This window comes from Homo sapiens, chromosome 3, assembly GCF_000001405.40.
Source record: "Homo sapiens chromosome 3, GRCh38.p14 Primary Assembly".
In the NCBI taxonomy this organism is placed as follows: Eukaryota; Metazoa; Chordata; class Mammalia; order Primates; family Hominidae; genus Homo; species Homo sapiens.
This window is the reverse complement of record NC_000003.12, coordinates 33260568-33286434: the sequence shown is the minus strand read 5'-3', so window position 1 is coordinate 33286434 and position 25867 is coordinate 33260568. Positions and strand designations below refer to the sequence as shown.

Genomic DNA, 25867 nt, shown 5'->3' with positions numbered 1-25867 from the left:
CACCTCATACAGCCAGGTGCCCATCTGAGACGAAGCTTCCAGAGGAAGGATCAGGCAGCAACATTTGCCGTTCTGCAATATTTGCTGTTCTGATGCCTCCGCTGGTGATACCCAGGCAAACAGGGTCTGGAGTGGACCTCCAGCAAACTCCAACAGACCTGCAGCTGAGGGTCCTGACTGTTAGAAGGAAAACTAACAAACAGAAAGGACATCCACACCAAAACCCTATCTGTACATCACCATCATCAAAGACCAAAGGTAGATAAAACCACAAAGATGAGGAGAAACCAGAGCAGAAAAGCTGAAAATTCTAAAAATCAGAGCACCTCTTCTCCTCCAAAGGAACACAGCTCCTTGCCAGCAACAGAACAAAGCTGGATGGAGAATGACTTTGAGAGAAGAAGGCTTCAGATGATCGGTAATAACAAACTTCTCCAAGCTAAAGGAGGATGTTCGAACCCATCGCAAAGAAGCTAAAAACCTTGAAGAAAGATTAGACGAATGGCAAACTAGAATAAATAGTGTAGAGAAGACCTTAAATGACCTGATGGAGCTGAAAACCATGGCATGAGAACCACGTGATGCATGCACAAGCTTCAGTAGCCGATTTGATCAAGTGGAAGAAAGGGTATCAGTGATGGAAGATCAAATGAACGAAATGAAGTGAGAACAGAAGTTTAGAGAAAAAAGAAAAGAAATGAACAAAGCCTCCAAGAAATATGTGACTATGTGAAAAGACCAAATCTACGTCTGATTGGTGTACCTGAAAGTGATGCGGAGAATGGGACCAAGTTGGAAAACACTCTACAGGATATTATCCAGGAGAACATCCCCAACCTAGCAAGGCAGGCCAACATTCAAATTCAGGAAATACAGAGAATGCCACAAAGATAATCCTTGAGAAGAGCAATACCAAGACACATAATTGTCAGATTCACCAAAGTTGAAATGAAGGAAAAAATGTTAAGGGCAGCCAGAGAGAAAGGTCGGGTTACCCACAAAGGGAAGCCCATCAGACTAACAGCGGATCTCTTGGCAGAAACTCTACAAGCCAGAAGAGAGTGGGGGCCAATATTCAACATTTTTAAAGAAAAGAATTTTCAACCCAGAATTTCATATCCAGCCAAACTAAGCTTCAGAAGTGAAGGAGAAATAAAATCCTTTACAGACAAACAAATGCTGAGAGATTTTGTCACCACCAGGCCTGCCTTACAAGAGCTCCTGAAGGAAGTGCTAAACATGGAAAGGAACAACCAGTACCAGCCACTGCAAAAACATGCCAAACTGTAAAGACTATCAATGCTAAGAAGAAACTGCATCAACGAACGAGCAAAATAACCAGCTAACATCATAATGACACAATCAAATTCACACATAACAATATTAACCTTAAATGTAAATGGGCTAAATGATCCAATTAAAAGACACAGACTGGCAAATTGGATAGTCAAGACCCAACAGTGTGCTGTATTCAGGAGACCCATATCACATGCAGAGACACACATAGGCTCAAAATAAAGGGATGGAGGAAGATCTACCAAGCAAATGGAAAACAAAAAAAGCAGGGGTTGCAATTCTATCTTTGATAAAACAGACTTTAAACCAACAAAGATCAAAAGAGACAAAGAAGGCCATTACATAATGGTAAACGGATCAATTCAACAACAAGAGCTAACTATCCTAAATATATATGCACCCAATACAGGAGCACCCAGATTCATAAAGCAAGTCTTTAGAGACCTAGAAAGAGACTTAGACTCCCACACAATAATAATGGGAGACTTTAACACCCCACTGTCAACATTAGACAGATCAATGAGACAGAAAGTTAACAAGGATATCCAGGAATTGAACTCAGCTCTGCACCAAGCGGACCTAATAGACATCTACAGAACTCTCCACCCCAAATCAACAGAATATGCATTCTTCTCAGCATCACATTGCACTTATTCCAAAATTGACCACATAGTTGAAGTAAAGCACTCCTCAGCAAATGTAAAAGAACAGAAATTATAACAAACTGTCTCTCAGACCACAGTGCAATCAAACTAGAACTCAGGATTAAGAAACTCACTCAAAAGTGCTCTACATGGAAACTGAACAACCTGCTCCTGAATGACTACTGGGTATATAACGAAATGAAGGCAGAAATAAAGATGTTCTTTGAAACCAATGAGAGCAAAGACACAACATACCAGAATCTCTGGGACACATTTAAAGCAGTGTGTAGAGGGAAATTTATAGCACTAAATGCCCACAAGAGAAAGCAGAAAAGATCTAAAATTGACACTCTAACATCACAATTAAAAGAACTAGAGAAGAAAGAGCAAACACATTCAAAAGCTAGCCGAAGGCAAGAAATAACTAAGATCAGAGCAGAACTGAAGGAGATAGAGACACAAAAAACCCTTCAAAAAAATCAAAGAATCCAGGAGTCGGTTTTTTGAAAAGATCAACAAAATTGATAGACTGCTAGCAAGACTAATAAAGAAGAAAAGAGAGAAGAATCAAATAGACGCAATAAAAGATCATAAACGGAATATCACCACTGATCGCACAGAAATACAAACTACCATCAGAAAATACTGTAAACACCTCTATGCAAATAAACTAGAAAATCCAGAAGAAATGGATAAATTCCTGGACACATATACCCTCCTAAGACTAAACCAGGAAGAAGTTGAATCCCTAAATAGACTGATAACAGGCTCTGAAATTGAGGCAATAATTAATAGCCTACCAACCAAAAAAAGTCCAGGACCAGACAGATTCACAGCCAAATTCTTCCAGAGGTACAAAGAGGAGCTCGTACCATTCCTTCTGAAACTATTCCAATCAATAGAAAAAGAGGGTATCCTCCCTAACTCATTTTATGAGGCCAACATCATCCTGATACCAAAGCCTGGCAGAGACACAACAAAAAAAGAGAATTTTAGACCAATATCCCTGATGAACATCGATGCAAAAATCCTCAATAAAATACTGGCAAACTGAATCCAGCAGCACATCAAAAAGCTTATCCAACACGATCAAGTTGGCTTCATCACTGGGATGCAAGGTTGGTTCAACATACACAAATCAATAAACGTAATCCATCATATAAACAGAACCAAAGACAAAAACCACATGATTATCTCAATAGATGCAGAAAAGGCCTTTGACAAAATTCAACAGCCCTTCTTGCTAAAAACTCTCAATAAACTAGGTAATGATGGAACATATCTCAAAATAATAAGAGCTATTTATGACAAACCCACAGTCAATATCATACTGAATGGGCAAAAACTGGAAGCATTCCCTTTGAAAACTGGCACAAGACAGGGATGCCCTCTCTCACCACTCCTATTCAATATAGTGTTGAAAGTTCTGGCCAGGGCAATCAGGCAGGAGAAGGAAATAAAGAGTATTCAATTAGGAAAAGAGGAAGTCACATTGTCCCTGTTTGCAGATGACATGATTGTATATTTAGAAAACCCCATTATCTCAGCCAAAAATCTCCTTAAGCTGATAAGCCACTTCAGCAAAGTCTCAGGATACAAAATCAATGTGCAAAAATCACAAGCATTCCTATATACCAATAACAGACAAACAGAGAGCCAAATCATGAGTGAACTCCCATTCACAATTGTTTCAAAGAGAATAAAATACCTAGGAATCCAACTTACAAGGGATGTGAAGGAACTCTTAAAGGAGAACTATAAACCACTGCTCAACAAAATAAAAGAGGACACAAACAAATGGAAGAACATTCCATGCTCATGGCTAGGAAGAATCAATATCGTGAAAATGGCCATACTGCCCAAGGTAATTTACAGATTCAATGCCATCCCCATCAAGCTACCAATGACTTTCTTCACAGAATTGGAAAAAACTACTTTAAAGTTTATATGGAACCAAAAAAGAGCCTGCATTGCCAAGACAATTCTAAGCCAAAAGAACAAAGCTGGAGGCACCATGCTACCTGACTTCAAACTATACTACAAGGCTACAGTAACCAAAACAGCATGGTACTGGTACCAAAACAGATATATACACCAATGGAACAGAACAGAGCCCTCAGAAATAACACCACACATCTACAAACATCTGATCTTTGACAAACCTGACAAAAATAAGAAATGGGGAAAGGATTCCCTATTTAATAAATGGTGCTGGGAAAACTGGCTAGCCATATATAGAAAGCTGAAACTGGATCCCTTCCTTATACCTTATACAAAAATTAATTCAAGATGGATTAAAGACTTAAATGTAAGACCTAAAACCATAAAAACCCTAGAAGAAAACCTAGGCAATACCACTCAAGACATAGGCATGGGCAAGGACTTCGTGACTAAAACACCAAAAGCAATGGCAACAAAAGCCAAAATTGACAAATGGGATCTAATTAAACTAAAGAGCTTCTGCACAGCAAAAGAAACTACAATCAGAGTGAACAGGCAACCTACAGAATGGGAGAAAATTTTTGCAATCTACCCATCTGACAAAGGGCTAATATCCAGAATCTACAAATAACTTAAATAAATTTACAAGAAAAACATCAAACAACCCCATCAACAACTGGGCAACGGATATGAACAGACACTTCTCAAAAGAAGACATTTATGCAGCCAAAAAACACATGAAAAAATGCTCATCATCACTGGCCATCAGAGAAATGCAAATCAAAACCACAATGAGATACCATCTCACACCAGTTAGAATGGCGATCATTAAAAAGTCAGGAAACAACAGGTGCTGGAGAGGATGTGGAGAAATAGGAACACTTTTACACTGTTCGTGTGACTGTAAACTAGTTCAACCATTGTGGAAGACAGTGCGGCGATTCCTCAAGGATCTAGAACTAGAAATACCATTTGACCCAGCAATTCCATTACTGGGTATATACCCAAAGGATTATAAATCATGCTGCTATAAAGACACATGCACACGTATGTTTACCGCGGCACTATTCACAATAGCAAAGACTTGGAACCAACCCAAATGTCCAACAATGATAGACTGGATTAAGAAAATGTGGCACATATACACCATGGAATACTATGCAGCCATAAAAAAGGATGAGTTCATGTCCTTTGCAAGGACATGGATGAAGCCAGAAACCATCATTCTGGGCAAACTATCACAAGGACAGAAAACCAAACACCGCATGTTCTCACTCATAGGTGGGAATTGAACAATGAGAACACTTGGACACAGGGTGGGGAACATCACACACTGGGGCCTGTTGAGGGGTAGGGGGAGGGCGGAGGGATAGCCTTAGGAGATATACCTAATGTAAATGACAACGGGTACAGCACACCAACATGGCCCATGTATACATACGTAACAAACCTGCACGTTGTGCACATGTACCCTAGAACTTAAAGTATAATTAAAAAATTTAAAAATTAAAAATTAAAAAAATCACTTTAATGGGCAAAACTATTTTTGCAGTGTTCCCTCCATCTTCTGCTTCCCAATACCTGTGACAAGTCTTGACCACAAATACAGAGAGAGAAGTGTCAAAATAGGAAAGTCGAAATGAACAAATTAAACTGGAAAATTATATGATAAAATATTATTTATTTCCAAAAACTAAATCTGCTTTACACAATAAAGTGTTAAACAATAACAAAAACTTGACAAGTCATATATATCCCAATAGATTTTGTTCCATATGAATTAAAATTTAAACAATTATTAGATGCCTTTTTTTCTTTTCTTTTTTTTTTTTTTTTTTTTGGATACAGGGCCTTGCTCTGTTGCCCAGACTGGAGGGCAGTGGTGTGAACACAATTCAGCACAGCCTTGAGCTCCTGGACTCAAGGGATCGATCCTTCCGCCTCAGCTGCCCAAATAGGTAGGACCACAGGCGTGCACCACCATGCCTGGCTAATTTTTCAAATTTTTAGTAGAGATGGGTCTCACCATGTTGCCCAGACTGGTCTTGAACTCCGGGACTGAAGCAGTCCTCCCATCTCAGCCTCCCAAAGTGCTGGGATTACAGGCGTGAGCCACTGAGCCCAGCCTTGAAGTCTTTTCGTAACAATTGTAGAATATGAAACTAAAATCTAAAAATTAGGAAAATCTCAGAGAATACATTTTTTAAAAACACTGTTAAATCCTCCACATCCAAAAGGCTTTATGTAAAACACTTGTCTTTGTGATTCACACAAAAAGCGGATGCCAATTCCTTAACTGAACTGATGTGACAGGAGAAACTCAATGCTAGTATAGCTGTGAGTAAGAATGCTGATCTAATTCATGTCTTTATTAATTCCTTCTCATTTCAACTTTGTGAAAGAAGGAAAGAAGAAAGAGGGGAGAGAAGACTAAGCATGCCTACCCTGTTCCGTAGTATCTAACCCAGTGCCAGGAACAACAAAACACAAGTCATTTATAAGTGCTCAAAAACCTTAAGTCCTAATAAGAAAGAAAACTAATTTCCTAACATATATATGAGGAAACATATAAAGATACACTATACATTACAGTACAATCCATAAACAGGTTGAGAGAAACTGCCAGGTTTTAAAAGTGGCTCAATTTATCAGTGGGGTGACCTAGGCAAGTTACTTTACCTCTCTGTGCCTCAATTTCCTCATCTCTAAAATAGGATAAAGGTATCTTCATCACAAGGTTGTTGTGATCATTTACGACTCTTAGAAAAATTTCTACTGCCTCTATAGTAATAACTATGTACATATGTACACAATAAATATTAGTTGTCATTATTATTATAGAGTAGAAATAAATGGCTTAATTGAAGAAATTTTCATTGAGAAATAGTTCCAAAATTAATGTGCCAAGTCATTTATATCAACGGCTAAAGTTTTGTTTAGATTCAAGCAGTTAAGGAAGTGTAATGTGATTTAGAACACAGTTCTGGGGGCCAGGCATGGTGGCTCAAGCCTGCAATCCCAGCTTGGGAGGCCAAGGCAGGAGGATCACAAGGTCAAGAGATGGAGACCATCCTGACCAACATGGTGAAACCCCATCTCTACTAAAAATACAAAAATTAGCTGGGCGTGGTGGCACTCGCCTGTAGTCCCAGCTACTCGGGAGGCTGAGGCAGGAGAATGGCGTGTACCCGGGAGGCGGAGCTTGCAGTGAGCCGAGATCGCACCACTGCACTCCAGCCTGGGCGACAGAGCGAGACTCCGTCTCAAAAAAAAAAAAAAAGAATACAGTTTTGGGGATGACATATATATGCAGCCGCTTCATCCCTCTCCCTCCTGTACCAACCATTCCCCACTTCCATGGAAGCCTGGACACCTTATCAATCAATTAAGCTCCTGTGAGTTAAATTCTTAATGCTTAAAGACAAACAAAAAGCAAAGCATTATTAAGTTCAGCAAAGCAACCACTAATACAAAACTACAGTAAATGCTTTTATTTTAAAGTAAAACTCTAAAATTCACAATAGTGAATGAGGGTGGGCTGTGGGTCAGAACGAAAGAAGTGGAAGAAGTAAAAATAAAGGAAAATGGATGACAGGAGGAATATGAGACTTCAGAGAGCTGTGAAAAATTAATTCCTGGATATTCTTTCTCCTTGCTACAATTGTTAGGGCTTTTCTCACATATAACATATTACAGTAAATTACTGCAATATTTGAAACACTTATATCTTCATAAAATTCAGTTTCTGAAACTCTTGCCAGCTCCATTAATTTGTCACTTAAAAAGCAATTCGCAATTTAAAAAAGAAACATACACAAAATAAAGGCATTACATGGTACTGTGATTTATGGGTGATGTTTTTCTCCTGCCAGCAATAATGCCACACATTTGGAAGTTGCTTTTCCAGAGTCAATGAGAGACACCATCCACCTCCCACCACCATCCCTCTCCTTGGTTATTAAGAAAAAAACTGAGCCAGCCAGGATTCCTAATGATAGTTTTTTCTCCATGAGGCCAGCTGGCACTCGGGGAGCACCCTGCATTCTCAGCTCATCAGCACTTCCACTAAACTCCTGCAGATAAGGAGAAAATCTCCACTTAATTACTCATGGTTAAAACAAAACTAAGTATTTCCCTATTACCTACACCTACCGCCATACCTCCTCAAGTATTCTATACCAAGGGTGTGTCCCCAAGCAAGGAGTCTAGCTCCTCTCTTCTCTTACACCCCGTGAAGGCCTCTGGAGAATTATGCCTTCGGTTGGCAATTCTCTGAACTTGTCTGTTCAAGCCAGCACCTCCGCCGAGTGAAACCGAGCAACGTTTTTAAAACGAGCTTAAAGGGGGCCAGGTGTTATGCCCACGCCGTCTGAAGTTAACTGAACAAAGGTAATGATTTAAGACGTTTACAATGCACTAATTATGAATTAATTAAATCCCTTAGTGAGGGTGCGGCACTCAGAAAAAAAAACCCTCCAGCTTAATGCCCTCTATTTTTTAGAAAGGAGGGGAGGGGTCTCTAAAATCAAAAATTTTAATTTCCACGTGCTAAAAAACCTATCAGAATGCTGATTTTGAAAGGAAGATATATGTCTTATATTAGTTACACATAACTGCATAGAAACAAAACTGGAGGCATATAGACTGCTTTAGTGTAAATATAAATACATATGATATCCATATACAAGATTTTTTTTTTTAACCACACCCTCCTTGGGTGGCTTCCCAGGCTCTCTCGGGCCAAACAGCGTCACGTCGTCCGGCGGCCCACTGGGTGGGGGTCCGGGCTGTCACCCCGACTCCAGCGGCAGGGAACGCTGCATCGCGGTCGCCCCCCGGCAGGCGGGCGCTCTGAATCCCCCAGGTTACCCCTCCCCGGGCCCGCCCAGCCCTGCCCTGCCCAGCAGCCTCGCAGGCCGCGGCCCGGCCTCTCCACGACCCCTGCGCCGCCTGCCCGACCCTAGCGGGCGGCGGCGTGCGGACCCAGCCCGGTAGGGGTAGGGCGGGGCAGCTAGGCAGACGCGGGTCCCAGACTCACCATGGCCGAAGAGCCGCGAGCGAGCCCACAGCCCGAAGTCACACGGCGCCGGCGACGCCCGTTGTCCTGGTGACGCCAGCCAGGCGCCCCGCCCCGTCCCCAAGGTGGGCTCGGAGGCGGCCATTGGTGGTCGGCGAGCACGTGACCCGCAGGGGCGGTGCCCTTTGGACCGCCCACCCCTCGCCCCCGGCCCTGGAACTGGGCCTCTTCGCCTCTCCCACTTCGTATCTGGTCCATCCTCTCAGTCTGATCACCTTGATGTCCCTCACCTGACAGATTACCCAGCCGCAGACTGCCCAGCTGAAAGAGACCATGGATTTTTTTTTTTTTAAAAAAAACGTTATACAGGTAATGCATGATTATTGAAAACATTTTAAATTACCAATAACAAGAATTTAAAAGGATAAAACGACACTCACCCCAGCACCTGAAGTAGCTACTGCTCAGATTCCATTCTATCTGCTTCAAGCTTCCAATGAGTTGTTATAATATACTGTATTCTTAAAAATGGTGGCAAACCATAGGTAACTGTTTTATAATCTACTTTTTTAGATTAAAAATGATTATCTTGGGGCCAGGCGCAGTGGCTCACGCCTGTAGTCCCAGCACTTTGGGAGGCCGAGGCGGGCGGATCACGAGGTCAGGAGATCAAGACCATCCTGGCTAACACGATGAAACCCCATCTCTACTAAAAATACAAAAAATTAGCCAGGCATGGTGGGGGACGCCTGTAGTCCCAGCTACTCGGCAGGCTGAGGCAGGAGAATGGCGTGAACCCGGGAGGTGGAGCTTGCAGTGAGCTGAGATCACACCACTGCACTCCAGCCTGGGCGACAGAGCAAGACTCCGTCTCAAAAAAAAAAAAAAAATTATTATCTTTGCATACCACTTAATGGAATAGCATTCTATGCATGTTGTCTAATTCATTAAATCAACTGGCAATTTGTTGAATGTTTTTAATATGGTTGAAGGGAACTCTAGATATCCTGAAATCTAGTCCATTAACTCTATGAAGAAGGACCCAGTGCGATGGGACACTTGTAGTTCCAGCACTTTGGGAGGCTGAAGCAGGAGGATTGCTTGAGGCCAGGAGTTTGAGACCAGCCTGGGCAACATAGCAAGACCCTGACTCGAAAGAAAGAAAGAGTGAGAAAGGCCGGGCGCGGTGGCTCACGCCTGTAATCCCAGCACTTTGGGAGGCCGAGGCCCATGGATCAAGGGGTCAGGAGATTGAGACTATCCTGGCTAACACGGTGAAACCCCGTCTCTACTAAAAATACAAAAAATTAGCCGGCATGGTGGCGGGTGCCTGTAGTCCCAGCTACTTGGAGGCTGAGCCAGGAGAATGGCGTGAACCCAGGAGGTGAAGCTTGCAGTGAGCCAAGATCGTGCCACTGCACTCCAGCCTGGGCAACAGAGTGAGACTCTGTCTCAAAAAAAAAAAAAAAAAGAAAGAAATAGAGAGGGAGGGAAGGAAGGAAGGAAGGAAGGAAGGAGTGAGTTTTGGTGTGTTAGAAGCAGAAAAAAATGACAAAATAAAAACAACAACAAAAAAAGTTACAAAAAAGAGAAAAAGAATTTTAAAGTGTAAAAAAAAATCTGTGAAGAAGAATCATATTCAACAGCTGACCTGACATCTCCCCCGGAGTGCCTAATAGACATCACAACGTAATATGGCCCTAATTAACCTCTTGATCCAAGTTTCTTACTCCCCAGTCTTCTCAAAGCGAAAGTCCCTACTATCCCCTTGATTGTTAAGACAAAAACCTAGGAATTGTCCCTGATTCCGCTGTTTCCTCACACCTCACTTCCAGTCCATTATCACATATTCTTGACTCCACCTTAAATTCTCAATCTATCCACTCTACAACATCTCCACCTCACAACCACTATTGTCTCACCCAAATTCATCTCCATATGTGCTATGATTTGAATGTTTGTGTCCCCTTCAAACTTTATATGAAAACATATAAAATGTGACAGTTTTAGGAAGAGGACCTCAAGGAGGGGAGTAGGCCGTGAGAGCTCTGTCCTCATGAATGGGATTAATGCCCTTATAAGAGAGCCTGAGGGAGTGAATTCAGCCCCTTTTTGCCTTTTCATCCCTTCTGCCAGGTGAGGACACAGCAATCCTCCAGAGGATGCAGCAACAAGACACCATCTTGGAAGCAGAGCAGCCCTCACCAGACACCAAATCGGCCAGCCCATTGATCTTAGACTTCCCAGCCTCCAGAACTATGAAAAATAAATTTCTTTTGTTTATAAATTACACAGTCCTGTGGTATTTTGTTATAGCAGCACAAGTGGACTATGACCCCATGTCTTCCCTCCTGCATCCTACACAATAGCAGCATTTTCAGTGGCTTCTCATAGCACTTAAAAAAAAATACAGGCCGGGCAAGGTGGCTCACGCCTGTAATCCCAGCACTTTGGGAGGCCGAGGTGGGAGGACCACCTGAGGTCAGAAATTCGAGACCAGCCTGGCTGACATGGTGAAACCCCATCTCTACTAGAAACACAAAAATTAGCCAGGTGTGGTGACGGGCGCCTGTAGTCTCAGCTACTTGGGAGGCTGAGGCAGAAGAATCACTTGAACACGGGAGGCAGAGGTTGCAGTGAGTGGAGATCGCGCCACTGCACTCCAGCCTGGGTGACAGAGCAAGACTCTGTGTCCAAAAAAAAAGAAAAAAGAAAAAGAAAAAAATACAAATGCTTTCCATGGTCTACCAAAATGGTACACGATGGAGGCCTTGCCCACTGCACCAACTCCATCTCCTGTCACTCTTCCCTCATTCACGCCACACTAACCACACTTTTATTTCCTGAGGTTCCTCAAACGCATCAAATACTTTTGTACTTAAAAGCCTCAATAATATCTGCTTCCTTTATATGGAATATTCTTCCTGCAGAACTTCATGTAGGCCCTTCCTTCATTTGATACAGGTCAGTTATCTCCTCAATTGTCATCTTCGCAAAAGCCTTTACTGACCTAAAATAGCTCATTCCGGTCACTCTCACTTCAGTCAGCCTCTCTCATTTAACTCTGCCTTGTTCTCAAAGTACTTAGCCCCCCTCAAAATTATCTTTTATACCTTTTTGTTTATTAATTACTTCCTGTCTCCCCGCTCTGGAATGCAAGATGTCTATCTTGTTCCATTGTGTATTCCTAGTGTTTAGAACAGTTCCTGACTTACAGTAGATGTTCGGTAAATACCGATGATTGAATGAATGAACATCTGTGCTGGGACTATGGTCAGTTTGAAGATCCGAGTAAGAATATGACTTGATAGAGTAGGGAGTATAATAGAAAATAAATACTGTAACTACTGACAGCCTTTATTTTTATCTTTTTATTATGAGATATAAATACAAGTAATAGAATACAAACGTACATTTTGTTAAAGTGAACCCTTATATAAACACCATCCAGTTCAAGAAATAGAACATCACCAGCAACCCAGATGATCCTCATGTCTACTCTCCTAATCTGAATTCCCCCTTCAACTTTTACCCTATAGGTGATCACTGTCGTGAAATTTATGGAAATCATTTTCTTGCATTTCCTTATTCATTTATTTTTGTTTTTTTGGAGAGCGATGTCTGGCTATGTTGCCCAGGTTGGCCTCGAGCTCCTGGGCTCAAGTGATCCTTCACTTCAGCCTTCTCAGTAGCTGAGACTACAGGTGCATGCCACTGTGCCAAGTACTTTCTTGTAGTTCTTTATAAGTGTTTGTACTACATTTTTATAGCTATAAAGTATCTCACTGAATGCACACAAGAATATATTTATCCCTTCTACTGTTGATAGGCATTTGGATCATTTCCCATTTAGGACTCTTATAAATGATGAAGCTATGAGCATTCTCCTAGTGTACATGGACACATTTCTCTAGATGATGGTTTATCAATCTTAGCTCTTTTAACATGTAGGGCCGGATAAATCTTTGTTGCTGGAGGCTGGAGGGAGAGGGTAGTCCTGTGTAATGTAAGATGTTTCACAACATCCATGATCTCTACCCACTAGATGCTAATGGTGCACCCCAGTTGTGAAAATCAAAAAATGTCTCCAGGCATTTCCAAATGTCCACAGAGCGGCAAAATTGCCCCATTTGAGAAACACAGCTCTGGAATGTCAACAGAGTAGAGTTGTTGGTTTACAGATTTACTACATAAATCTGAAGAAATTTATGTTTCCAAATTGTTTTCTAAAGTAGTTGTAACAGAAACGACATCACAGAATTAGCAGAATAGGGAGCGCCAAGAATTGGTCCCTCTACTGAAGCAAACATTAAATGGCAAAAAATGACAGAATCGACATTTCAGACTCTGGAGTCTAATAAAATATTTAAGTCAACCAGGGAGTGCTTAATAAAGAAAGAGGCAGCTGAATTTTGATAGGAAAGAATTATGGGGGATTTTGCTTGCCCACCTAGCATCCTCTACTCCCCAGCCTGGTGGTAGTCTTATGGATGGTGGCTTGTGTTCTGATGCAGCTTGCTGGTCCCAGGCTCAGCACTATGACCTTGTTCTCAAAACATTTTGGTTATGCATTTGACCGGTTTCTGCATTCTCTAAGGCAGCAGTTCCCAATGTTTTTGGCACCAGGGACCAGTTTTGTGGACAATTTTTCCATGAACTGGGATGGGGGATGGTTTCAGGATGATCCAAGCACATTACGTTTGTTGTGTATTTTGTTTCTATTATCATTACACTGTAATATGTAAAAAATTAATTATACAACTCACCATGATGTAGAATCAGTGGAAGCCCTGAGCTTGTTTTCCTGCAACTAGACAGTCCCATCTGGGGGTGATGGGAGGCAGTGACAGATCATCAGGCATTAGATTCTCGTAAGGAATGCACAACCTAGATCTCTTACATGTGCAGTTCACAGTAGGGTTTGTGGTCCTATGAGAATCTAATCCTGCCATTGATCTGACAGGAGGCGGGACTCAGGTGGTAATGCAAGCAATGCAGAAAGACTATAAATACAGATGAAGTTTCACTCAATGACCGCTCACCTCCTGCTATGCAGCCCAAGCCCAGTTCCTAACAGGCCACTGACCAGTATTGGTCCATAGCCTTGGGGTTGGGGACCCCTGCTGTAAGAGACTGACCTGGAAGCTGACCCTTAATTTTACCTCCTCAGGTTGGAGGGCTTCCTGCACAGGATCTGATGGAAATATTTAAAGACATACACTATCCACCGCTGCCTGGGGCAAGAAATGGAGGATGAGGCAAGCAACAGACAGATCCAAAAACCTGAGAATGAGGAGGAAGATTCTTGGGGGAATAAGAGCTTTGGAGGGCTACAGCATATACTGGGGAATCTGGAGTATAGTATACATGCACAGGCCCAGATGCGTGATCAGAAAAGGCTTAAGAGGATCCTAGACTTACACTTGTGGCTGATCTTTGGACTCCACACAAGCAAGAAGTGAAGGCTAAGGTAGGGTTGCCATCAGCTTGGCTTAGCATTGAAGGAGTGTCCTAGCTTAGAGCCAGAATGCAAAGACCAGAGGCACAGTCTTGTGGTTTTGTGGGTGTTTTTCTTTTTCTTTTTTTTCTGTCTCTAGGTATTTAAGGAAATCTCTTTCAGGTCACTAGTCAATTGCTAAGATAACAAAACAGAGAGTTCAATGAGCACACTTGACAAAGAATACAGTCTTTGCAAAAACAATTTGGAAACTCATTAAACAAGTGGATGGCTGCCCTCAATAATGAAAATTAAAGCCTTGGGTAGAGTCTTATTTCCAGAGTTCCACATTATAATATTCAAAATGTCCAGTTCTCAGCAAAATAATTACAAGGCATGCAAAGAAACAGGAAAGTATGGCCCACTCACAAGGGAAAAAAATAAATTCACAGAAACCATCTGTAAGGTACGTGGATGTGCTTTAGTCAAGGAATAGGCTGAGGCAGACATCCAGGCCTGCATGACACAGCAGGATTGGTGCATAGGCGCACACCTCCATTTGTTATATAACCTGTTTGTGTTAAGTTCATACTTGGCTCAAAGCCTGTAGAAGGTATAACTGTCTGTAGAAGGTATAATTGCCTTGCTGACACTGTGCACAGGGCTCTCAGGCATGGCTTGACATGGTGCTGGTGCCCAGAGAAAGAGAGAGGGAGAACCAGAGCTGTCTGTCTTGCAGACGAGCCATGGCATGGCTCACGCTGGTGCCCAGAGAGAGAGAGTTAAGCTGCCGACCCTGAAAGCAAGGGAGAACTGGCCGTGCCCCTACAGACATGGGGAAGGCAGGGGCCGCAGAGCCAGAGCAGAGAGCTGAGATAAAGACAGACAGTGTGAGAAAGCTGGTGTAAGTAAGCTGCTGATGAGAAAGCTGTTGATGAGAGCTGCTTCTGAATAAAACAATATTCACCTGCCTACGGCCCCCCGAGTGTTCTTTCAGCTAAATGCCCATCCACCCACTCCCCTCAGACCTCAGCATGGGCCAGAACCTGACCCTGAGTGGACATTTGGCATAGTCGTGGACCTAACACCATCCCTATAAAATCCCAGACATTAAACTTACTAAAGAGAGACTTAAATCCACTATCTTAAATATGCTCAAATAACTAAAGAAAATCCTGAACAAAAGAACAACAGGAAACCAAGAAAACAACATATGAACAAATAGAGAATAGCAATAAAGAGGTAGAAATTATAAAAAGAAACCAAATAGAAATTCTGAAGCTGAAAACTGCAATAGCTGAAAAAAAATTTCACCATGGGGGTTTAGCAAGAGAATGAGCAAGCAGAAGAAGATCAGCGAACAATTGAAGTTATTCATCTGAAGACTAGAAAGAAGAATGAGAACATGATAGATAGGAGACAGGACTAATGTGCATCTCCCACTTGGACAGACAGAACAGCATGTGGAAGCTCACACTGTGTACTTTTGCTCCAAGAACCACAGCAGGAATGTGCCAGGAAGACCGAAAGAGTTCACAGATCCTGTGGAAGAAGCGGCTCATGGCTGCAAACTGTGTGAGACAGCTAAAAACCTGAGTTCCCAAAGTATGAGAGGGGAAAACCTGCCTCGGAACACACATCCTCACTGGGGAACCTGAAAATCCAGATCACAGGAGAATAATTTAACCTTACCTAGAGTTGGAATGGATTTAGGGAGCTGAGCAAAATATTAAAATACAAGAAGCAATGAGAAGAGCCCTGTAGGTACTCCCAGTCCCCAGCTCAAGCCTAGGTAAGCCATCCCTGACTCTGCCTCACAGGGGTCCTTGGGGAAGGCGTGCAGCGGAACTAGGTAGGGGTCACTAGGTAGGGTGAAAGAAGCTTCCAACTAAATTTAGTAATTTTTTTCTTTTTGAGAAGGAGTCTTGCTTTGTTGCCCAGGCTGGAGTGCAGTGCCGTGATCTCGCCTCACTACAACCTCTGCCTCCTGGGTTCAAGTGATATCCTGCCTCAGCCTCCTGAGTAGCTTGGATTACAGGCATGTGCCACCACACCTGGCTAATTTTTGTATTTTTAGTAGTGACAGGGTTTCACCATGTTGGCCAGGCTGGCCTCGAACTCCTGACCTCAGGTGATACACCCACGTTGGCCTCCCAAAGTGCTGGGATTACAGGCATGAGCCACCACACCCAGTACTGAAATTTGTAATAATTTTGACTGAGCACAAATTTTCCTGAGCAGAATCTGGGGGGCAAATGGGAATTGCTGCAGGAGCCACAGCCAATTGTGTGGACAGGTGGGGAAGGGCAAGGCCTGAAAGCCATACTTACTTTCTCAGCAGGGAGGCTCATAGTTTGGGGCAAGGTCTGAGCCCCATGCACATGCCTGGGGATCCTAGATGTAAACTCAGCACTGTTGGCAGGGCACAGTGGGAGTGAGACCGGCCTTGTTGGCTATGTGGGATTTGGATGAGGCCTGTCACTGCTGGCTTTCCCTCACTTCCCTAGTGACTTGTGTTACGCAACAGGGGCAACCATATTCTCCCTTGGAACGTAACTCCATTGGCCTGAGAACCATCACCCATCTCCCACAGTGGCTGCAACAAGCCCTGCCCAAGGAGAAACTGAGCTCAAACCCACCTAACCCTGCCCCCACCTGATGTTTTTTCTCTACCCACCCTGGTTGCTGAACACAAAAGACACAAATTCTTGGGAGCTTTATGTCCCTGCCCATCACCTGAGAAACCCAAATATTTATCCTGGCCAATTTAGGGCACGCTTATAATCCCCCTTCTACTACTGCAGCTGGTGCTCTCTTGAAAGTGCCACCTCCTGGCTGGAGGTCAACCAACTCAAGCCATTACAGAACTCATGACAGAATAACCCTACTCCAAGGAAAGCTAAAACAACAGCTAATTCCACTGCCTGCAACATCCTGGCCTACCAGAGGTCCTGAGTCTGTCCACATGACAACTTCACTGCTGGAATAACCAGCATTCGACAAAACCAGCACACTAAACAAAACTATAACCAAGGACTATTACAGTTTACTTCACTCCTCTGCCACCTCCAATAGAGCAGGTGCTGGTATCCACAGTGGGGAGACCTGAAAATGGATGACATCACAGGATTCTTTGCAGACATTCTCCAGCACCAGCCCAGAGCCTGGTAGCCTCACTAGGTGGCTAAACCCAAAAGAGCAATAACAATCACTGCAGTCCAACTCTCAGGAAGCCCAATCCCTAGGGAAAGGGGGAGAGCACCACATCAAGGGATCACCCTGTGGGACAAAAGAATCTGAACAGCAGCCCTTGAGTTCCAGATCTTTCCACTGAAATAGTCTACCCAAATGAGAAGGAACCAGGGAAGTAATTCTGGTAATATAACAAAACAAGGTTCTATAACATGCCCAAAAGATCACAGTAGCTCCCCAGCAATGGATTCAAACCAAGAAGAAATCTCTGAATTGCCAGATAAAGATTTCAGAAGGTTGATTATTCAGCTACTCAGGGAGATACCAGAGAAAGTTAAAAAATAATGTAAAGAAATTAAAAGAAAATACAGGATATGGATGACAAATTTTCCAGAGAAATAAATATCATAAAGAAAAAACAATCACAACTTCTTGAAATGAAAGACACACTTAGAGACATACAAAATACACTGAAAAGTTTCAATAATAGACTAGAATATGTAGAAGAAAGAACTTCAGAGCTTGAAGCCAAGGTTTTTGAATTAACACAATCAGACAAAGACAAAGAAAAAAGAATTTTAAAATATTGAACAAAGACTCCAAGAAAGTTAGGATTATGTTAAATGACTGATACAGTTTGGCTCTGTGTCCCCACCCAAAGCTCATCTTGAATTCCCACATGTTGTGGGAGGGACCCGGTGGGAGATAATTTGAATCATGGAGGTGGTTTCTCCCACACTGTTCTCTCGTGGTAGTGAATAAGACTCACGAGCTCTGATGGCTTTATCAGGGGTTTCTGCTTTTGCATCTTCCTCATTTTCTCTTGCAGCTGCCATATAAGAGGTGCCTTTCACCTCCAGCCATGATTCCAAGGCCTCCCGAGACATGCAGAACTGTAAGTCCAATTAAAACTCTTTTTCTTCCCAGTCTTGGGTATGCTGTTATTAGCCGCATGAAAATGGACTAATACAGTACGTTGGTACCAGGAATTGGGTGTTGTGAAAAGATACCCAAAAATGTGACTGGGTATCAGGCAGAGGCTGGAACAGTTGAAGGACTCAGAAGAAAAGAGGAAAATGTGGGAAATTTTGGAACTTCCTAGAGACGTGTTGAACGGCTTTGACAAAAATGCTGATAGTGATATGAACAATAGGATCCAGGCTGAGGTGGTCTCAGATGGAGATGAGGAACTTCTTGGGAACTGGAGCAAAGGTGATTCTTGTTATGTTTTAGCAAAGAGGCTGATGGCATTTTGCCCCTGACCTAGAGATTTGTGTAACTTTGAATTTGAAAGAGATGATTTAAGGTATCCGGTGGAAGAAACTTCTAAGCAGCAAAGCATTCAAGAGGTGACTCGGGTGCTGTTAAAAGCATTGCATTTTAAAAGGGAAACAGAGCATAACAGTTCAGAAAATTTGCAACCTGACAATGCAGTAGAAAAGAAAAAACCATTTTTTGAGGAGAAATTCAAGCTGGCTGCAGAAATTTGCATAAGTAACAAGGAGCCAAATGTTAATCCCCAAGACAATGGGGAAAATGTCTCCAGGGCATGCCATAGGTCTTCACAGCAGCCCCTCCCATCACAGACCCAGAAGGCTAGGAGGAAAAAATGGTTTAGTGGGCTGGGCCCCGAGTCCCCACGCTGTGTGCAGCCTAGGGACTTGGTGCCCTGTGTCCCAGCCGCTCCAACTGTTGCTAAAAGGGGCCAAGGTACAGCTTGGCCCATGGTTTCAGAGGTTGCAAGCCCCAAACCTTGGCAGCTTCCATGTGGTGTTGAGGCTGCAGGTGCACAGAAGTCAAGAATTGAGGTTTAGGAACCTCCACCTAGATTTCAGAAAATTTATGGAAACACCTGGATGCCCAGGCAAAAGTTTGCTGCAAGGGTGGGGCCCTCATGGAGAACCTCTGCTAGGGCAGTGCAGAAGGGAAATGTGGGGTCAGAGTCCTGACACAGAGTCCCTACTCGGGCACCCACCTAGTGGAGCTGTGAGAAGAGGGTCACCATCTTCCAGACCCCAGAATGGTAGATCCACTGACAGCTTACACCGTGTGCCTGGAAAAGCTGCAGACACTCAATGCCAGCCCATGAAAGCAGCCAGGAAGGGGGCTATACCCTGCAAAGCCACAGGGGTGGAGCTGCCCAAGACTATGGGAAACTACCTCTTGCATCAGCATGACCTGGATGTGAGAAATGGAGTCAAAGGAGATCATTTTGGAGCTTTAGAATTAGACTGCCCCTCTGGATTTCAGACTTGCATGGGCCCTGTAAACCCTTTGTTTTGGCCAATTTCTCCCATTTGGAGCAGCTGTATTTACCTAATATGTGTACCCACATTGTATCTAGGAAGTAACTAGCTTGCTTTTGATTTTACAGGCTCATATGCAGAAGGGACTTGCCTTGTCTCAGATGAGACTTTGTACTGTGGACTTTTGGGTTAATGCTGAAATGAGTTAAGACTTTGGGGGACTGTTGGGAAGGCATGATTGGTTTTGAAATGTGAGGACATGAGATTTGGAGGGGTTTGGGGTGGAATGATATGGTTTGGCTCTGTGTCCCCACCCAAATCTCATCTTGAATTGTACTCCCATGATTCCCATGTGTTGTGGGAGAAACGTGATGGGCGATAATTTGAAACATGGGGGTGGTTCCCCTATACTGTTCTCTCATGGCAGTAAATAAGTCTCACAAGATCTGATGGTTTTATCAGGGGTTTCTGCTTTTGCATCTTCCTCATTTTTTCTTGCTGCCACCATGTGAGAAGTGCCTTTCACCTCCAGCCACGATTCTGAGGCCTCTCCAGCCACGTGGAACTGTAAGTCCATTAAACCTCTTTTTCTTCCCAGTCTTGGTTATGTCTTTATCAGCAGCATGAAAATGGACAAATACAATGACCAAGCCTAAGAATAATTGATGTTCCTGAGGAATAAGAGAAATCTACAAATTTGGAAAGCAAATTTGAGGAAATAATCAAGGAAAACTTCCCTGGCCTTGCTAGAGATCTAGACATCCAAATACAAGAAGTGCAAAGTACACCTGGGAAATTCATGACAAAAAGATCATCACCTGCGCACATAATCATCAGGTTATCTAAATTCAAGATAGAGGAAAGAATCTTAAGAGCTGTGAGGCAAAAGCATCAGGTAACCTATAAAGGAAAACCTATCAGATTAACAGCAGATTTCTCAGCAGAAACCCAACAAGCCAAAAAGGAGTGGAGTCCTATCTTTAGCTTCCTCAAACAAAATAATTATCAGCTGAGAATTTTGTATCCAACAAAACTAAGCTTCATAAATGAAGGAGATATAAAGTCTTTTTCAGACAAATGCTGAGAGAATGCTCTAATACCAAGCCAGCACTACAAGAAATGCTAAAAGGAATTCTAGATCTTGAAGCAAAAATCTCAAAATACACCAAAATATAACTGCCTTAAAGCATAAATCTCACAGAGTATATAAAACAATAATACAATGAAAAAAAAGCAAGGTATAACACAATGAAAAAAGAAACAAGGTATCTAGCACAATAGATGAAACAGTACTTCACATCTCAATACTAACGTTGAATGTAAATGGCCTAAATGTTCCACTTAAAAGATACAGAATGACAGAATGGATAAAAATCCATCAACCAAGTATCTGCTGTCTTCAAGAGACTCACTTAACACATAAGGACTCACTCACATAAACTTAAGGTAAAGGGGTAGAAAAAGATATTCCATGTAGATGGAAACCAAAAGAAAGCAGGAGTAGCCATCCTTATATTAGACAAAGCAGACTTTAAAGCAACAACAGTTTTAAAAGACGTAGAGGGACATTTATAATGATAAAAGGATTAGTCCAACAGGAATATATCACAATCTTAAATATATATGCACCTAACTTTGGAGCTCCCAGATTTATTAAATGATTACTACTAGATCTAAGAAATGAGATAGACAGCAACACAATAATAGTGGGGGGCTTGTAATACTCTACTGACAGCACTACCCTGGTCATCAAGACAGAAAGTCAACAAAGAAACAATGGACTTCAACTATACCTTAGAACAAATGGACTTAACAGATATTTACAGAACATTCTACCTAACAACTGCAGAATATACATTCTTTTCATCAGCACATGGAACACTCTCCAAGAGAGACCATATGGTAGGCCACAAAACAAGTCTCAACAAATTTAAGAAAGTTGAAATGATATCAAGTACCCTCTCAGACCACAGTGGGATAAAATTGGAAAGTAACTCCTAAGGAACCCTCAAAACTATACAAATATACAAATTAAATAATCTGCTCCTGAATGATCTTTGGGTCAACAATGGAATCAAGAGGGAAATTAAAACATTCTTTGAATGGAAAGATAATAGTGACACAGCCTATCAAAACCTCTGAAATACAGTAAGAGCAGTGCTAAAAGGAAAATTCATAGCATTAAATGCCTATATCAAAAGTCTGAAAGAGGACAAATAGACAATCTAAGGTCATATCTCAAGGAAATAGAGAAAAAAGAACAAATCAAACCCAAATCCAGCAGAAGCAAAGAAATAACAAAGATCAGAGCAGAACTAAATGAAATTGAAACAAACAAAAAAAAAAGACGAATGAAACAAAAAACTTGTTCTTTGAGAAGATAAACAAAATTGATGGGCCATTAGCTAAATTAACCCAGAAGAGAGAATATCCAAATGAGCTCAGTTAGAAATGAAATGGGAGATTTTGCAACCAATACCACAGAAATGCAAAAAATCATTAAAGGCTACTTTGAACACCTTTACATGCACAGACTAGAAAACCTAGAGGAGATGGATAAATTCCTGGAAATCTACAATCCTCATAGATTAAACCAGGAAGAAATAGAAACTCTTGAACAGACCAATAACAAGTAGTGAGATTGATACAGTAATTTAAAAATCGTCAACAAAAAAAATCCATGACCAGATGGATCCACAGCTGAATTCTATCAGACATTCAAAGAAGAATTGGTACCAATTCTACTGAAACTATTCAGAAAAACAGAGAAAGAGGGAATCCTCCCTAAATCATTCTATGAAGCCAGTATCACCCTAATACCAAAACCAGGACAGGACATAACAAAAAAAAAGAAAAAGAAAATTACAGACCAAAATCTCTGATGAATATAGATGCAAAAATCCTCAACAAAATACTCGCTAACCAAATTCAACAACATATCAAAAAGGTAATACCCCATGAGAAAATGGGTTTCTTTTTTCCTTTTTTATTTTATTTATTTATTTTTTTGAGATGGAGTCTTGCTCTGTCACCCAGGCTGGAGTGCAGTGGTGCAATCTCAGCTCACTGCAACCTCCACCCCATGGATTCAAGCAAGTCTCCTGCTTCAGCCTCCCTAGTAGCTGGGACTACAGGCACCGCCACCACGCCCGGCTAATTTTTTGTATTTTAGTAGAGACGGGGTTTCACCATGTTGGCCAGGCTGGTCTCAAACTCCTGACCTCAAGCAATCCACCTGCCTTGGCCTTTCAAAGTGCTGGGATTACAGGCATGAGCCAACACGCCTGGCTTATCAAGTGGGTTTCATCCCAGAGATGCAAGGATTGTTCAACATATGCAAGTCAATATTTATGATACATCACATAAACAGAATTAAAAACAAAAATCATATGATCATCTCAGTAGATGCAGAAAAAGCATTTGACAAAATCCAGCATCCTTTTATGATTAAAACCCTCAGCAAAATCAACACAGAAGGGACATACCTCAAGGTAATAAAATCCATGTATGACAAACCCACAGCCAACAGTATACTGAACGGGGAAAAAGTTAAAAGCATTCCCCCTGAGAACTGGAACAAGACAAGGATGCCCACTTTCACCACTTCTACTCAACATAGTAGTGGAAGTCCTAGCCAGAGCAATCAGACAAGAGAAAGAAATAAAGGGCATCCAAATCAGTAAAGAGGAAGTTAAACTGTTGCTGTTCACTGATTATATGATCCTATACCTAGAAAACCCTAAAGACTCATCCAAAAAGCTCCTAGATCTGATAAATGAATACTATAAAGTTTCAGAATACAATATTAGTGTATACAAATTAGTAGCACTGCTATACACCAACAGCAACCAAGCTGAGAATCAAATCAAGAACTCAAACCCCAGTTTTTCATTTTGTTGTTTTTGTTTTGTTTTGTTTTGTTTTTTTGAGACAGAGTTTCGCTCTTGTTGCCCAGGCTGGAGTGCAGTGGCATGATCTCGGCTCACCGCAACCTCTGCCTCCTGGGTTCAAGCGATTCTCCAGCCTCAGCCTCCCGAGTAGCTGGGATTACAGGCATGCACCACCACGCCCGGCAAATTTTGTATTTTTAGTAGAGATGGGGTTTCTCCATGTTGGTAGGGCTGGTCTCGAACTCCCGACCTCAGGTGATCCCTCCTGCCTCGTGCTGGAAAAGTGCTGGGATTACAGGCTTGAGCCACTGCACCCGGCCAAGAGCCCAAACCCTTTTACAACAGCTGACAAAAAAGAAAAAAAAAAAACTTAGAAATACACCTAACCAAGGAGGTGAAAGATCTCTACAAGGAAAACTATAAAACGCTGTTGAAAGAAATAACAGATAAACAAATAGAAACACATCCCACACTCTTAGATGGGTAGAATCAATATTGTAAAAATGATCATATTGTCAAAAGCAGTCTACAGATTCAATGCAATTCCCATCAAAATACCACCATCATTCTTCACTGTACTAGAAAAAAAATCCTAAAATTCGTAGGGAACCAAAAAAGAGCCTGCATAGCCAAAGCAATGCTAAGCAAAAAGAACAAATCTGGAGGCGTCACATTATCCAACTTCAAACTGTACTATAAGGCTATATTTACCATAACAGCATGGTACTGGTATAAAAATAGGCATGTAGACCAATGGAACAGAATATAGAACCCAGAAATAAAGCCAGATAGTTACAACCAACTGATCTTTGATGAAGCAAACAAAAACATAAATTAGGGAAAAGACACCCTATTCAAAATATGGTGCCAGAATAATTGGCAAGCCACATGTAGAAGAATGAAACTGGATCTTCATCTCTTACCTTATACAAAAATCAACTCAAGATGGGTCCAATACTTAAATCTAAGACCTGAAACCATGAAAATTCTAGAAGATAACATCAGAAAAACTCTTCTAGACATTGGCTTAGGCAAACAGCTCACGACCAAGACCCCAAAAGGAAATGCAACAAAAACAAAGATAAATAGATAGGACCTAATTAAACTAAAAAGCTTCTGTACAACAACAACAACAACAAACAATCAGCAAACAGACAGCACACAGAGTGAGAGAAAATATTTATAAACTATGCATCCAACAAAGGACTAATGTCTAGAATTTAAAAGGAACTCAAACAAATCAGCAAGTAAAAGCAAATAATCCCGTCAAAATGTAGGCTAAGGATATGAAGAGAGAATTCTCAAAAGAAGATATACAAATGGCAAACAAACATATGAAAAAATGCTCAGCATCAATAACTATCAGGGAAATAGAAATTAAAACCACAATGTGATACCACCTTACTCCTGCAAGAATGGCCATAATTATAAAGTAAAAAAATAATAGATGTTGTCATGGAGGTGGTGAAAAGGGAACCCTTTTATACTGCTGGTGAGAATGTAAACTAGTAACACTACTATGGAAAACAGTGTGGATATTCCTTAAAGAACTAAAATTAGAACTACCATTTGATCCAGCAATCCCACTACTAGGTGTCTACCCAGAGGAAAATAAGTCATGATATGAAAAATGCATTTGCACACGCATGTTTATAGCAGCACAATTCACAATTGTAAAAATATGGAACCAACCCAAATGCCATATATATATATGCCATATAAAGGAACAAAATAATGGCATTCACAGCAACCTGGATGGAGTTGGAGACCATTATTGTAAGTGAAGTAACACAGGAATCAAAAATCAAACATCATATGTTCTCACTTATAAGTGGGAGCTAAGCTACAAGGATGCAAAGGCATAAGAATGATATAATGGACTTTGGGGACTCTAGGGAAAGGATGAGAGGGAGGTGAGGGACAGAAGACTACACACGGGGTACAGTGTACACTGCTCGGGTGATGGACGCACCAAAATCTCAGAAATTACTACTAAACAACTTATCCATGTAACCAAACACCCAAAAACTATTGTTCCCCAAAAAATATTGAAATAAAAAAATTAATTTAAAAACATTTAAAAAAGAATTACAAATAAAACATTGGACAGAAGTTAAGGCCCCCCTAAGATACTATCAAGCATATCAATATATTTATTATGGAATCCACAGAGGAAGAAGAAAGAGAAAAAGGGAAGAAAGAAT

At 41.7% G+C, this 25867-nt stretch overlaps 1 protein-coding gene and 1 long non-coding RNA gene across 27 annotated transcripts in view, besides 3 other annotated features; one reads left to right on the top strand and one right to left on the bottom strand.

Moving 5' to 3' along the window:
- The window catches only part of FBXL2 (F-box and leucine rich repeat protein 2), a 145674-nt gene extending 136264 nt beyond the window's left edge, over positions 1–9410 (bottom strand). For 22 of the 26 annotated variants that reach the window (NR_146123.2, NR_146132.2, NR_146129.2 and 19 more), the window contains exon 1: positions 8920–8993. Coding sequence is in view for 2 of the 26 variants with exons in the window: in NM_001349316.2 (NP_001336245.1) it covers positions 8920–8922 (3 nt within the window). In the remaining 24 variants the exon portion in view is untranslated. Of the gene's footprint in view, positions 1–8919; positions 8994–9338 lie in introns of those variants that run through there. The other 4 variants (NR_146122.2, NR_146121.2, NM_001349319.2 and 1 more) reach the window with 1 other exon arrangement.
- Positions 8723–8902: a silencer, noted in NCBI's record as "silent region_14186". NCBI's record gives its function as "represses an Ori minimal core promoter by ATAC-STARR-seq in GM12878 lymphoblastoid cells {active_cell/tissue: GM12878}" and the evidence as "EXISTENCE:reporter gene assay evidence [ECO:0000049][PMID:35858748]".
- Positions 8871–9038: a silencer, noted in NCBI's record as "fragment chr3:33318889-33319056 (GRCh37/hg19 assembly coordinates)". NCBI's record gives its function as "represses an EF-1alpha promoter that drives an FKBP-Casp9 reporter gene in an ReSE screen in HepG2 liver carcinoma cells {active_cell/tissue: HepG2}" and the evidence as "EXISTENCE:reporter gene assay evidence [ECO:0000049][PMID:32094911]".
- Positions 9081–11188, top strand: LOC124909362 (uncharacterized). The gene is made up of 2 exons (XR_007095861.1): positions 9081–9267; positions 11035–11188. It is a non-coding gene; the product is annotated as an uncharacterized LOC124909362 (long non-coding RNA).
- Positions 9103–9172: a silencer, noted in NCBI's record as "silent region_14185". NCBI's record gives its function as "represses an Ori minimal core promoter by ATAC-STARR-seq in GM12878 lymphoblastoid cells {active_cell/tissue: GM12878}" and the evidence as "EXISTENCE:reporter gene assay evidence [ECO:0000049][PMID:35858748]".
- Positions 11189–25867: the final 14679 nt, after the last annotated feature.